The sequence below is a fragment of the Homo sapiens genome, chromosome 5, assembly GCF_000001405.40.
Source record: "Homo sapiens chromosome 5, GRCh38.p14 Primary Assembly".
NCBI lineage: Eukaryota > Metazoa > Chordata > Mammalia > Primates > Hominidae > Homo > Homo sapiens.
The window spans coordinates 78,234,554-78,250,425 of record NC_000005.10 but is presented as its reverse complement, the minus strand read 5'-3'; the positions used below and the strand labels follow the sequence as shown (position 1 = coordinate 78,250,425).

The 15,872-nt window shown below is 38.5% G+C and overlaps 1 protein-coding gene across 3 annotated transcripts in view; it reads left to right on the top strand.

Moving 5' to 3' along the window:
• Positions 1 to 15,872, top strand: part of AP3B1 (adaptor related protein complex 3 subunit beta 1) — a 294,177-nt gene that overhangs the window by 44,273 nt on the left and 234,032 nt on the right. For all 3 annotated transcript variants that reach the window (NM_001271769.2, NM_003664.5, NM_001410752.1), the window contains exon 3: positions 9,490 to 9,564. In NM_001271769.2, coding sequence (NP_001258698.1) covers positions 9,490 to 9,564 — 75 coding nt within the window. The remainder of the gene's footprint in view (positions 1 to 9,489; positions 9,565 to 15,872) is intronic.

Below are 15,872 nucleotides of genomic sequence, written 5' to 3'. Positions count from 1 at the left end.
TAGAATAGAGTGGGACAAACAGATAGCTGAGGGTAAGGAGCCTGAGAGCACTCTTCCCTCTGTCTTTAATTGGTACGTCTTCATTAAGTTCTTCACTGTTTTTCTGTTTTTTCCTTTATTTTTCTTTTTTGGGTTTAAGTATTCTTTGGGAATAGGTACTAAGATTCTTTGGGAATAGGTACTATATATTCTGCTGTTTGGTATGTTGTCCTCAGGGTACTTCCCTGAAGATTATTAGAAAGACCAATATATTGGAGCCAAGGGCCTGTCTGATAGTTAAGTAGTAGGTAAAATTAGGTCCACTTTTGATTAAGTAGTAAGTTCATCCACTTATTTCTTAGGTTGTAACTAGATTGGTAGATGCTTGTTTCCTAAAATGTTATCTTATGTGAACCATACCCCTGCAGAAATTTGTTGAAATTTCTGTTATGTGGATAGTACTTTATCTAAAATAGAAAATATCCTGGATTGATGCAATAGCAGAATGGTGATAACAGAAGAAAGAGCCAGAAGTTGAAGACAGATCATTAGAAATTATTCAGTTTGTGGCCGGACACGGTGGCTCATGCCTGTAATCCCAGCACTTCAGGAGGCTGAGGATTGCTTGAGCCAAGGAGTTCCGAGACCAGCCTGGGCAACAAAGTGAGACCCTGTCTCTACAGAAATACCAAAAAATCAGCCAGGTATGGTGGAGGGTGCCTGTGGTCCCAGCTACACAGAAGGCTGAGGCAGAAAGCCCACTCGAGCCCAAGAGGTTGAGGCTGCAGTGAGCCAACATGGCACCATTGCCGTCTAGCCTGTGCCACACAGCAAGACTCTGTCTCAAAAAAAAAAAAAAAAAAAAAAGAAAAAGAAAAAAATCATTCTGAAGAATAGAGATTGAAAAGAACAGAGCCTTGGAGTTTTGTTGGTTCATTCTAAAGGTCTAACGTATGCATCATTAGAACAGCAGAAGGAGAGGAGAAAGAGATTGGAGTAGGAAAAAATATTTGAAGAAATAATGGTAGAAAACTTCCCAAATTTGATGAAAGATACAATTTTTATTTTTATTTTTATTTTTTGAGACGGAGTCTCACTCTTGTCGCCCAGGCTGGAGTGCATTGTGCAATCTCGGCTTACTGCAACCTCTGCCCCTGGGGTTCAAGCTTCTCCTGCTTCAGTCTCCTGAGTAGCTGGGATTACAGGTGCCCCCGCTCCCCAGCCCCACCATGCCCAGCTAGTTTTTGTATTTTTAATAGAGATGGGGTTTCACCATGTTGGTCAGGCTGGTCTCGAACTCCTGATCTCAGGTGATCCGCCCTCCTCAGCCTCCCAAAGTGCTGGGATTACAGACATGAGCCACCGTGCCCAGCCAAGATACAAATTTATAGATGAAAGAAGCTCAGCAAATGCCAGTTAGGATAAACTAAAAGAAAACCACGCATAAACACAGTAATCAAATGGTTGAAAACCAAAAATAAAGTCTTGAAAGTAGCGGGAAAAAATGGTACATAGAGGGGAACAATAATTTGAATAAATGCAGATTTCTCATCAGAAATCATGGCAGCCAGAAGAGAGTGGAACAATATGTTTCAAGTACTGAAAGAAGAGAACTGTTAACCCAGAACTCTATATCCATTGAAAATATCCTTCAAGAACGAAGATGAAATAAAGACTAAGAGTATCCATTTCTAACATGTTTACTTTAATGAAATGTTAATAGACGTTGTGTAGGCTGAAGGGAAATGATACCAGATGGATATTTAGGCGGACCAATCAAAATGGTAAATACGTATAAAGGACTAATTTTATTCTTAAGTTATCCCACTATCTGAGAGGTTTTTAATATGGGTGGCTAAACATAAAAGCTAGTGGGGAGGTGGAAATAAAAGAGTCTATATGGTTGCAATGTTTCTGCATTTTTCTTTTCTTTTTTTTTTTTTTTTTTTTTTTTGAGACAGAGTCTCGCTCTGTTGCCCAGGCTGGAGTGTAGTGGTGTGATCTCGGCTCACTGCAACCTCTGCCTCCTGGGTTCAAGTGATTCTTCTGCCTCAGCCTCCTGAGTAGCTGGGACTACTACAGGTGCACGCCACCACACCTGGCTAATTTTTGTATTTTTAGTAGAGATGGGGTTTCACCATATTGGCCAGGCTGGTCTTGAACTCCTGACCTTGTGATCTGCCTGCCTCAGCCTCCCAAAGTGCTGGGATTACAGGCGTGAGCCACTGTGCCCTGCCTGTTTCTGCATTTTTCTTGATCTGGTACAGTGTTAACTGTAAGTAGACTGTGTAAGGTTTGCTGTTTCTGTATTTATATATTTATATGTCTGTTTATCTACCTATGTATCTGATAATCCGATAAGTTAAAGATATGCTGTTTGAGCACAAAGGAGATTCATTTAAACCGCTATTGCTATAGATTATGCCTATGATGCATTTTTACGAGGAACCAGTAAATTATATAAAAAGATATAGGCAGAAAGTTAATATAAAAATATGAAATACTAAAAATTTTCTAAGGAAAAGAGAAAAGAGGAAGTAGGAGAACAGAAAATACAGGGAATAAACAGGAAACGGATACTAAAATGGTAGACCTGAATCTAACCATGTTAATAATTCTATTACATGTAAGTGGTCTGACATTACCAATAAAAAGAGATCTTCATATTGGATGAAAATGTGAAGATACAACTGTGCTCTTTGTAAGAAACCTACTTTTAATATAAAGACATAAGTTATAAGGAAGGAAAAATGCATACCATACAAACACTAACCAAAAAAAGTTCAGATGAATCTATTTATATCAGAGAGAGTAAACTTTTGAACAAATAGTATGGTTAGGATAAAGAACATAACAATAAGAGTCATTTTCCCAAAAAGACATAATAATCTTACATGTGTCTAACAACAGAGCTTCAAAAACGGAGTAAAAAAAAAAACCTGTTAGAACTGACAGGAAAGATTGACAAATTCACAATTATAGAGACGTCAGTGCTTTTTTCTTAAAAATCAATAGAATAGGGAGATAGAAAACCAATAAGGAAATTTAAGACTAGAATAATATCAACTTATATGACCTAACTGACATTTATAGAGCAGTCTACTCAACAGTAGCGAAATATACATTCTTTTTATTATTATTATCTATATTATTATCTATATTATCTATATATTATAATTATTATCTATATTAGCAAGATAGACTACATTCTGGGCCATAAAACACAATCTTAACAAACTTAAAAGAATTAAAATTATGCAAGTGTGTTATCTGACCATATAGAATTAAACTAAACACAGTCATTGGAAGAGATCAAAATTTTTTTAAAATATTTGAAAATTATACATCAAACTTATACATTTAGAAATGATGACATGATCCATGAGTCAAAGTCAAAGTAAAAGTCACAAGGAAATTAGGATGAAATTGAAAAACCACATATCAAAGTTTGGAGGATTTAGGTAAAACAGTACTTACAAGGAAATTTATAGTAATAAAAGCTTATGTTTGAAAAGAAGTATTTCCAATCAGTGCTCTGAGCAGCTACCTTAACATAGCAGAAATAGAAGAGCAAATTAAACTCAAATTAAAACTAAAGAAAGAAATAATAAGGTAGAGTAGAAATCAATGAAATTGAGTAGAGAAAAACAGTAGAGTAAAATCAGTGAAATGAAAAACTAGTCCTTGGAAAAGATAGATAAAATTGATAAACCTGTAGACAGAGTGACCAAGAAAAAACAGGACAAATTATCAATATCAGAAATGCAAGACCCTGTTGACATTTAAGGGATAATTAGGGAATATTTTAGGCATCATTAGCCCCATAAATTTGACTACTTTGTTGAAATGAGCAAAATCCTTCAAAGATAAGCTATGATGTTTACTCAAGAAGAACTAGATTATCTGAATAGTCCTATATCTAATAAAGTAATTGAATTTTTCATTAAAAAAATTTCTACAGGGAACGTTCAGTTCTACATAAGCTCTTCCAGAATATAGAATATGAGAAAATACCTCTGAATTCAATTTCTGAGTTCAGTGCTATCCTGGTCTGAAAACTAGACAAAGACATTATGAAAAAATTAAATTATGTCCATCTCCCTCATGAACATAGAGGATTGGATGGAGAGTAAATCAGTCAAATTTCCCAAAATACAGTGCTGTTAGGCTATACCCATTGTAAGTAAAAACATTGATGTTGGGGCTGAGGCCACCAAAGGTTGAAGGATGAAAAAAAATAAAAGTCAAATGTGTGAAGTTAGAGAACAGGTATCAGAAACTGATGATCACTCTTTTAATCAGATGCCTGCAACCAGTGAATGTTCTTTGGGGCACTCTGGAATTCCATCTCTACCTTGGGTAGAAGCTATCTAAGAGCTTAGCAGAGGGCATGATTAGAACCTAGGAGAGTTTAGAGCTACAAATGACCTTATGTTATCTCCTCAACTTTTGCCCAGCTGCTCCCTAAACATGACTCTCACTTTTTACCTGAAAACTTGTCTTCCTTTCTCACCTTTTATCTAGAGAGTCACCTTCAAAGGGCAGAATCGCTGGTACTGCAGCTTTTTCAAATATCAGGAACTTCAACCAAATAAAATGAAAAAGGACATATTCTCCTATGCTTTCCACCTATGAACCTTACTTTTCCCTCAGGGCCCAAATGTGGCTCCCCTCAATTCCTATGCTCCTTGTTCTGGGTAAAAGAGTACAAGGGGACCAGGAACAGGGTTTTTACCTAAAGCAGAAGGGAGAGAGGGTGGGAGAAGTATGTTATTTGAGTGGATAAGGAGGAATACTGAGAAGGACTGCCCGCTTTCAAACTGAGGTTCAAGGAGTCTAAGAGCTTCTTTGCTGGTTTCTTCCTTTCTTCATGTTGGGAAAAGGGCTTGTGGGGTGTCTGTATAAACTGGCCATAAAAATATGGGACAATAAGTTGTGGAAGCCACAAGAGGCCTCTGAGGAGGAAAGTCTCCTAATTGCCATCATGTTCCCATGCTCAGAGGGAGACCCGCTTTCTTATCTGTAAACACTGTGTTCAAGGAGAAAGACACTCCTTTGAAACACTGGAATGTGAACAGGCGTGCAGGCTCCTAGTTAAGCCCGCTCCTACTAGCTGCTCTCTGATAAGTTAAAGATAGGCTGTTTGAGCACAAAGGAGATTCATTTAAACCACTATCGCTGTAGATTACGCCTATTACGCATTGCCTCCCTTTCACTGTTTCGCCCTGAACGTCTGCTTCTCAGATCTAAGTGATTGTACTCAATAAATAGTGTGGAGACCAGAGCTCTGAGCCTTTTGCAGCCTCCAAAAGTACAACTGGCCCCCTGGCTCCCCACCTTTACTCTTAACTTGTCTCTTCTCAATCCTTTGTTGCCACCGGACTTTGGGTACCCTATGGGTGGTTTTGAGGCTGGTCCCCAACACTCCACAATTTCTACTTTGTTTTTTTTTTGAGACAGAGTCTTGCTCTGTCACCACGCTGGAGTGCAGGGGTGCGATCTTGGCTCACTATAACCTTCGCCTCCTGGGTTCAAGCGATTCTCGTGCCTCAGCCTCCTGAGTAGCTGGGATTACAGGCACGTACCACCACACCCAGCTAATTTTTGTATTTTTAGTAGAGACAGGATTTCAGCATGTTGGCCAGGATGGTCTCGATCTCCAGACCTTGTGATCCACGCTCCTCGGCCTCCCAAAGTGCTGGGATGACAGGCGTGAGCCACCGCACCTGGCCACAATTTCTACTTTTAGGATTGTACTATGTCTTGTCACTCAGTCTACTTCTCTGTCTGTATGCCCTCCTGTAGTGATCTCATCCCTTTCCAAATGCATATTGCTAACCAGTGCTGTCTCCTGTATTCTGTAGCCTTTATTCCCATATATTCAGCTGGCTTCTCAGCATATCTGAAACCAAACTCTGGATTGCTCATCTCCCCAAATACCTGCTTCTTCCCTAGTCTTTCTCATCATAGTAAATGGCAATTCCATTTCTCCAGTTAGTCATTTGTAGTCCTTCTTCTTTTTTTTTTCTTTTGAGTTGGAGTCTCAAACTCTGTCACACAGGCTGGAGTGCAGTGGCGTGATCTCGGCTCACTGCAATCCCCGGCTCCCAGGTTCAAGTGATTCTCCTGCCTCAGCCTCCCAAGTAACTGGGATTACAGGCATCTGCCACCATGCCTGGCTAATTTTGTGTTTGTGTGTGTATGTGTGTGTTTTTAGTAGAGACAGGGTTTCAGCATGTTGGCCGGGCTGGTCACAAACTCCTGGCCTCAAGTAATCTGCCAGCCTTGGCCTCCCAAAGTGCCGGGATTACAGGCAGTAGTTCTTCTTAATTCATGTCCCTTCTTTCTTATATCATATATAATCTATTTTCAGAATAAATCCCAAATCTAGCCCATTCTCACTGTGCTCACTATCTTTCCTCTGCATAATTGCTGTAGCCTTCTGTTTTCCATGGTATCATATCTTCTGGTCTATTTTTCACATTGCAGCCAGAAAGATCCTTTTAAAATATGAGTCATTGCTAAATATTTAATGATGTCTTTCCTCTGCTCACAACTCTCCATTGGTCTCCTGCTTCACTCATAGTAAAAGCCAACTCATTTTACAGTGGTTTATACATTTCTGACCTTATCTCTCACCATTCTTCCCCTCACTTACTCCAGTCTGGCTCTCCTGGCCTCCTATTCCTGGCACATGCCATGCCTAAACCATTGTTTCCCTAGCTAGTCACATGGGTCCCTTCCTCTCTTCCTTTGCATCCCTGCCAAAAGGAAGGCCTTTTCTGACCACCTTATCTAAAAGAGCAACTCCCACCTCCACCTCAGCACTTCTCATCCCCCGATACTACTTTATTTTTCTCCACAGTAGTCTATTGCCACCTCACTATTATTGTTTATTGACCCTTGCCCCATTAGAAGGTAAGCAGCACATGGGCAAGGACTTTGTATTGGTTATGGTTGGATCCCTAAGGCCTAGGATGGTCCCTGCTAGAAAGTATCTTCTCAGCAAATATTTGTTGAGTGAATTTGATTGTGGTGTTTTTTTCCTTCCCCATATTTGAATAACGTTCTGCGGAATAAAGTTAGATAGTCATGGAGTAGGATACCATAGGACAGGATGTCTGACTTTAGGTAATCATTGAATGAATGAATGAATGAATGAATGAATGAATGGCAGGGGTCCTACAGAACATTTAATCCCTCTCTTTTCTTATTTCAAAGATGAGAAAATGGAGAGAGGTGTACAAATCATAGAAAGATGTCTTAGCTTCAGTATTTTGTAAACCCTCCATAGTGCTCAGCAGGTTTCACAAAATACTCAAAAGAATGTCACAGGTAAGGAAATAGAATATAAAAAGACTAGCTTGTATTCAAGAATATTTTAAGGCTATCATATAGAAAGTTCTTATAAGAAATTGGTAACGGGGATTCTAATGCTTCAAGTATCACATATTTATATAACATTTGTTGTAAATTAATAAAGCTAATATCTTTTTAAAGGCAGTTTATTAGATATGGTATGTAATTCATAAGGAATCCCTTTTCCCCAAATTACCCTATAGTTTGAACTTTATTTTGTGGTTACCAAAGTCTGGACTTTTAAAAGATATAAAGTTATAATCTGAGAATGAGAAAGACAAAATGGGAATACAGATAGATATAAAACTAAAATAAATAGAAATGTAAAATAGTGCACAGGAAATTCTAAATGATAAGTGTAGATTAAAATATTCTAGAGGAGGCTGCACATGGTGGCACGTGCCTGTAATCCCAGCAGTTTGGGAGGCCGAGGGGGGTGGATCACTTGAGGTCAGGAGTTCAAGGCCAGCCTGGTCAACATGGCGAAACCTCGTCTCTACTAAAAATACAAAAATTAGCCAGTGGTGGCATCAGGTGCCTGTAATCCCAGCTACTCGGGAGACTGAAGCAGGAGAATCGCTCGAACCCGGGAGGCGGAGGTTGCAGTGAGCCAAGATTGTGCCACTGCGTTCCAGGCTGGGCGACAGAGTGAGATACTGTCTTAAAAAAAAAAATTCTGAAAGAAATTAGGATTGGGTGACACAGTGGCCCAGGTGTTAGGAGATGGCTGTAGCAAGGGAGAAGGAGTAAAATTTGATGATGCTTTAGATAGAAGGGGAGAACTTAGAAAGCTGGGGCCATGATCTGAGCAGAGGCATAGTGGGGCAGCCAGAGAATATTCTAGTAGTGAGTAAGGTCATTTTAATAGAACCTTAGGTCAGAGAGTTTAAGAACAGATGTTAGTGCACATTGTGAGAATATTTGAATGTTACATAAAATCATTTGGACTCCAGACAGTCAGAAGCTTTTGAAATCTTTTACGGGGGCTGACATGTGCAAAGTAGTGTTTTAAGCATATTAAACTGTCAGTGATATACATTATGGATAGGAAGAGGAGACTGAAAAGTTCTCTGTGAGGTGATACTGACCCATGCTAGGATAATAGCAGTGGAAGGGATTAACATGTGTTCTGAGAAGTATTAGCAGGACTTAGTTACTCTTCTGTGAGAAGAGACCAGGGTAATTTTGTGGTTTTTGGTATCTAGGAGAACTGTGGAAATAGGAAATTCTATCATGAATGTCATTTTATCATGAATGCCATTTTGTCATGAAAGATGAGTTTGGCTTTAGACATAGCAAGTTTGGGATGAGAGCAATCTAATGATGTCTAGTTAGAGATGTGGAACTCAGGCTGGATTTGGGCTACAGTTAGTCCTAACGGTGAATGAAATCTTAGGAGTTTCAGAGATTGTAGAACAGTGTAGGCTGAAAAGATGGTGGTGCGCAGAACTTTAGTGGGCAGAGGAAGAATGTTTAGTGAAGGCAACTTTGAAAAGCAATGGTTGCAGAAGTAGGGTAACCTATGAAAAGAAAGCAAAGGTTCACATAATTAGTTGGTTCAAAGTAACATTCATCCCTCTCTCAATTCCCCCATTGCAAATGCAGTACATCTTTAATGTCAGATCCTGGAAAATAGAAAATAGCAAAAATATTTTTAAATATTTTTAAAAAGTTTTTACCCAGCCTGGGCAACATAGTGGTACCCTGTCTCTACAAAAAAATTCGAAAATTAGCCAGGCATGATGACATACGCCTGTAGCCTCAGCTGAAGCTGAGGTGGGGGATCACTTAAACCTGGGAGGTCGAAGCTGCCGTGAGCTATGATTGAGCCACTGGACTCTAGCCTGGGAGACAGAGTAGGATCTGTCTAAAAAAAAAAAAAATTACTTATAACCCAGTTAGCCAGAGAAAACTAGTAAAATATTTAAATATATATCTTAAGTTACTAAATATTTCTTGTTTATTGTGTCTATGTATTTGTGTATTTATATTGCTGTACAAGATAGTGTTTATTATTTGCTGTAAATAGTTGAGGTAAGATGATTCAAAAAGAGTTCAGCGGTTAATTACGTAGCTTATTTGTTGACCTAATCTTCTAAATATTTAATATATATAGAATTTCCCATATTGTCTGTTTTGTTTATTCTTCAGATGATTGCAAAAGGGAAAAATGCATCTGAACTGTTTCCTGCTGTTGTGAAGAATGTGGCCAGTAAAAATATTGAGGTACTGTTTTGATCTATAATTTTTATGATTCCTTTTGTTTTCATGGGACCGTACACTTTTTATGTAGTATAATGCAACATAAGATACTTAAGTATCACTAGATTTTTGTTATGATTAAAATGTCCTTAATTTTAAATGTAGGTAAGATCAAATAAAAAGTAGGCACAATCCTAGCTTTGGATTTTTGGTAGAAAATATGAAAAGCAAAACAGATTGATTCCCCTGAGTGAATGATGGTAAGTTGTCGAGTTTTCACCTGTTCCTAGAGGCCCGTTTAGTTTAAATTTTGTTCCAGGGACTTAATTTTAAGATAGCATATGTCCAGTGAAAAAGACCTATTTGGGTATATCCAGACCTTGATGATTTGGGGCTTTTTGGGATTTCTAGGACTGAGCCCAAGAATATTTCCCAAGTTTCTCAGACTACTCATGACATGTACTAAGCACTCAGTACATATATGTGGATTTATTGAATGAACACGTCCCAGTAAAATACTGTTTTCTGTAAGCTACACTAATATAGTCTAGTATTAAGGTTACATTCTCCTCTCCACCCTGGTTAATTGATAAATTAATTGAAAAAGCCTGGTTAATTGATAAATTTTTCTCAGTTTAAAGCTTTAAAGCCTTTCCCTCACCATAAAATTAAAGATGTGTTACTGCTACTATTTGTTTGCCATTTTATTGGCAGATGATGAAGCTCATTAACAAATAACAGAAACATTCTAATCCAGGGAACATGGTTATGGTGACAGAGAAAGTGCACAAGCATTCTTGCACGGGCAAGTGTGAGAGCGTAAGGAGGATGGGTGTGTGATTTCAGAGGGTTCGCTAATTTTGTAGTTATGATTTTATTTTCCATGCATAGTATGGTCATTTTTTGGTAGTGAAGTTTTTTCTATTTTGCGTGATGATTTTAAATGTTCAAAGTATTCTTGCCAGCAAAACCAACCAGAGAAAAAGAAAACATTTTTGAGCTAATGTTCTTTAAATATTACTTAACTAAATGTGATTGATAGTGTTGGTGAGAGAGGAATTTTTAATCTCCCAATCATGATTTTGATTTTTTTTTTTTTTTTTTTTTGAGACAGAGTCTCACTTCGTCACTCAGGCTGGAGTGCAGTGGTGTGATCTTGGCTCACTACAGCCTCGACCTCCTGGGCTCAAGCGATCCTCCCGCCTCAGCCCCACAAGTAGCTGGGACTACAGGCGCTTACAACCATGCTTGGCTAGTTTTTTATATTTTTTTTTTGTAGAGACAGGGTTTCGCCATGTGGCCCAGGCTGGTCTTGAACTCCTGAGCTCAAGCAATCTACCTGCCTCAGCCTCCCAAAGTGCTAGGATTACAGGCGTGACCAACCGTGCCTGGCTTTTTTTTTTTTTTTTTTTTCTGAGACAGGGTTCCTCTCTATCTCCCAGGCTGGAGTGCAGTGGCATGATCGTGGCTTACTGTAGCCTTGACCTCTTGGGTTTAGGTGATCCTCCTTCCTCAGCCTCCTGAGTGGCTGGGACTACAGGTGCATGCCACCATGTCCAGCTAATTTTCATATTTTGAACAGAGACAGGGCTTCACCATGTTGCCCAGGCTGGTTTCGAACTCCCAGGCTCAAGCAATCTGCCAACCTTGGCCTCCCAAAGTGCTGGGATTATAGGCATGAGCCATCGTGCCTGGGCTGATTCTGGAATGTTTTATTTTTCCCCTTAATTTAGTATTTTTTGCTTATTTTTAAAAGTACTCCTATTAGGCATAACTCTTTGGGTTTTCCTGATGAATTGACCTTTTTATTATAAAAAAATCCTTTATTTTTGTTAATATGTTTTGTCTTAAAGCATATTTGATTTGTTATTAGTATTGCCACTCCAACCTTCTCATTTCTTTTTATTATCATTTTTATTCATTTGCTTTCAGCTTGTCTGTTTATATCTAGTGTGCACCTGTTGTTGACAGCGTATAGTTGCAGCCTTCCCTACATCCCGTGTGTCAATCTCTGCCTTTTAATTGGAGTGTCTATTTTGCTAACACTTAATATAATTATTGATCTGCTTAGATTTGAGTCTACTATTATTCTTTTTCTTTTCTCTTTGTCTCTTTTATTTTTGTCTTCTATTCTTCCTATTCCTTTTTTGGGTTAACTAGAAACATTTTAAAATTTCATTTTAGTTTTTTTCCAACTTGCATTTCTTGGCATATATGACAGTGGTCCCATATGATTATAATACTGTATTTTTACTGTACTTTTTCTATGTTTAGATACACAAATACTTACCATTGTGTGATAGTTATCTACAGTATTGAGTACAGTAACATGCTGTACAGATTTGTAGCCTAGGAGCAATAGGCTATATCAGTAGTCCCCAACGTTTTTGGCACCAGGGACCAGTACTGTGGAAGACAATTTTTCTCTGGACCCAGGGTGGGTAGGATGGCTTCAGGATGATTCAAAAGCATTACATTTATGGTGCACTTTATTTCTATTATTATTACATTGTAATATATGATGAAATAATTATATAACTCACCATAATGTAGAATCAGTGGGAGCCCTGAGCTTGTTTTCTTACAACTAGATGGTCCCATCTGGGGTGTGATGGGAGACAGTGACAGATCATCAGGCGTTAGATTCTCATAAGGAGCACGCAGCCTAGATCCCTCTTGTGTGCAGTTTACAATAGGGTTTGTGCTCCTATGAGAATCTAATGCTGCTGTTGATCTTACAGTAGGCAGAGCTCAGGAGGTAATGCGAGCAATGAAGAGCAGCTGTAAATACAGATGAAGCTTCACTTGCTTGCCCACTGCTCACTGCCTGCTGTGTGGCCTGGTTCCAACCCCTGGGCTATGTCATATATCCTAGGTGTGTAGACCCCTGGTCTGTATCATATATCCTAGGTGTGTAGTAGTCTATACCATGTAGGTTTGTGTAAGTTGCACTCTGTGGTGTTTGCACAACAATGAAATTGTCCAACGACGCATTTCTCAGAACATTGTTAAGCAATGCATCACTGGATTATAGCATTTTAAGGATAGGTACTTTAAACCTACTTTTTTTTTGGAGACAGGGTCTCGCTGTGTTGCCCAGGTTGGAGTGCAGTGGCACGATCTTGGCTCACTACAACCTCTGCCTGCCGGGTTCAGGTGATTCTCCTGCCTCAGCCTCCCGAGCAGCTGGGATTACAGGCTTGTGTCACCATGCCCATCTAATTTATTTTTCGTATTTTTAGTAGAGCCGGGGTTTTGTCATGTTGCCCAGGCTGGTGTGGAACTCCTGAGCTCAAGTAATCTGCCCACCTTGGCCTCCCAAAGTGCTGGGATTATGGGTGTGAGCCACCATGTTCAGCCTAAACCTACTTTTAAAAAAAGATTTAATATTTTAAAGTATGCTTCTTGCTTTTTTTGGGGGGGAACTGTAGTGGCATGAACACAACACACTGTAGCCTTCACTTCCTGGGCTCAAGTGATCCTCCTGACTCAGCCTTCTGAGTAGCTGGGACCACAGGTGCGTGCCACTACTCCTGGCTATTTAAAAAATATTTTGTAGAGACGAGGTCTCCATGTTGCCCAGGCTGGTGTTGAACTCTTGGGCTCAGGTGATCCTCCTGCCTTGGCCTCCCAAAGTGCTGGGATTATAGATGTGAGCCACTGTGCCCAGCTCTTAATTTTTTTCATTAGATAGGAAGTGCATTCTGTATTTCAGATAGATGAATTTTTCTATCAAAATGAAATAGTTCTTATAAACTCAATTAGACTAAGTTGGATAAGCCAAAATCAAAACAGTTGTATTCTTGTGGCCAGTTTATGAATTAGATTAAATTAGTACTGGATTTAAATGACTTGATAAACCATACTTTCTTTGTAGATTTCTTGAGTAAAATCAATTTTACTTATGATTAATTTAGTAGATATTTATTAAACACTATGTGCTTGTTATATATAATTCTGAATTGATAATTTTCAACTACTCTCCCTTTGACACCTTATGGCCATGATATCTGAGCTTCTAATTTGATATGTTTATTAGTTTTATGGCCTGTGGTATAAGAAAGTCCAAATATCTGGAAAAAATAAACATTTAACTTAGAAAAATTATGAGGCATAGGTGAAGCTTGTCTTAGTATTATCAGGAATAGAGTCTCTTAGTAGCAATAGGAATAATTGCTAACATTAAAAAAACCTGTCTGACCAAGGTTATTAGTGCCTTGCATAGATCTACTCCGTTTTATCCTCACAAATAACCCTGTGGGGCTGTTTCTGTCATTACTTGTATTTTATATATGAGGACAAGATGGCAGAAAGGTTAAATTAGCTGATCAAGGTCACACAGCCAGTGTGTAGCAGTCAGAATCCAAAGCTAGGTTGCTTGACTTCAGAACCCATCTTAGCCCATTCAGCGCCATCTTTCCTGTTTGATGATTCCTCCCTCTGTTTTGTCTCTTAATATTTTTGACTCCTTATCAACATCTGGCATTAGCCATCCTTTGGGAGGTACCTAGTATTGGCATATTTTTTTTCTTTTATGTTTTAGTTATGGGTAGAAATGACGAAGTCCTTAGAAATTGGTGGTAAAGTAGCTAGTTCCCTGAGGACTTCTAGTTCTTGTTGTAAACAGAAAATTCCATACCAATTATTGTTCCTTCAGAACTGTTTTACTATTCAAATAGTTATCAGTAGGAGAACTTTTCCATTTGCTCATATTTTCCCTTTACAATTAGATTCTGGTAGCTGCCTAATGTTCTGTTACAAAAATGTCAATATAAACATAATTATTGGTCTATTTGTTTTGGATTTCTTTCGTTCTTTAAATACCTTGTTTATTTTATTTTTTTGAAACATGGTTAAGCCTTTAATGTTTTGGGAAAACTGACATAAGTTTCTTAAAACTTATGTTCAGAAATTGAATGTTTCACTCCTCTCAAGTGCAAAATTTCATTTTTACAAGTACATGCTGCTTTAGACACACAGGTGAGCTGTACGTCATCTACCATTAAATGTCAAATGATACCAAAAGTGACCTAGTAAGCAATCAGTGGTTATAGTACAAAAATAATCAAAGGTTTAGTCAATAACTCATGAAGTTTGATGTACTAGTATTGATAAGCTAATTAAACAGATCTGTCTGTGTTCTTCCAGCCTACTGGGGCTCTGCTATGATTAGCTTTACAGCAAGGAGTGTTATAACATTGAATGAAAGTAACCGATCAGAGAATGATGTAGTCACGGAGCTTTAACTACTCCCATTTCTGGTCACAGAATGGTTTCAGGGAAGGTAGGCTTTCTTTGCACACCTGCAGCCTGTCAGTGCATAGGCCTCTTGTGGTCAATATTGATTGATTCTTATAACAGAAGTAGAACAAATTTAGTGTTTCGCAACCTTCTGTGATTTAATATTGTTATGCTTTTTGCCATAACAGTCACAGAAATCCTTCTCCAATAGTGAGTAATTATTGCAATGCCTGCTAGCTCAGCTGTGGTTCTGAATGTTTCAGTGTTGCCAATATAAACTCTGTGATATATTCTAGAGTTCATAATCCAGTTTTAAAAGCTGGCTGTACTTGGTGAATAAAGGTATTGCTGAGAAATAAATTGTAAGGGGATAAGGGAGAACTGGACCCATTCTTTCTCAAAACTTTCCAGAGAACTGTAGAGTGAGATCTGAATATAATTAGTAAAGAGAAAGAATATTTTAAAAGAATATTTTAAAAAACCAAACCAGCTGTGTTGGTGTGCACCTAGAGTCCTAATTACCAGGGAGGCTGAGGCAGGAGTCTCTCTTGAGCCCAGGAGTTTGAGGCCAGCCTGGGCAACAGAGCGAGACCCTATCTCTCTTTAAACATACACCCACACCTCCACCCCCACTCACTGACACACACACACCCCTCCCCACACACCCACATACACCAAAAAAACAACCAGACTAACAAGTTAAAGACTTTGGAGGCAGTCTTTCCAAAACCTGTTGTTTTCTTCATAGTATGTTGGTGTCTTTCTAGACTTTGCTGTTCAATGAATTATACCCACTGGTGTGAGAAGTTAGATCCTAGATGTAGCACTCTAATGGGAAATGTCTTAATTTTTTTCAGTCTACAGTTGGTCTGGAATGTGATCCAGCTGATAAATATTGAGCTTTTACTATATGCCAAGCAATGTAATAAGTCCTTGCAATATACAGATGAATAAGAAATGGTTGTTGTACTAAATAGCCTCAAGTTCACTTCCAGGCAGATGGGATAAATTACTTAGTTAAATACATATTATGTGTTGATTTGATATATTGAAACTGTTGTTAATCAACTGCTGATATATTGATATATATT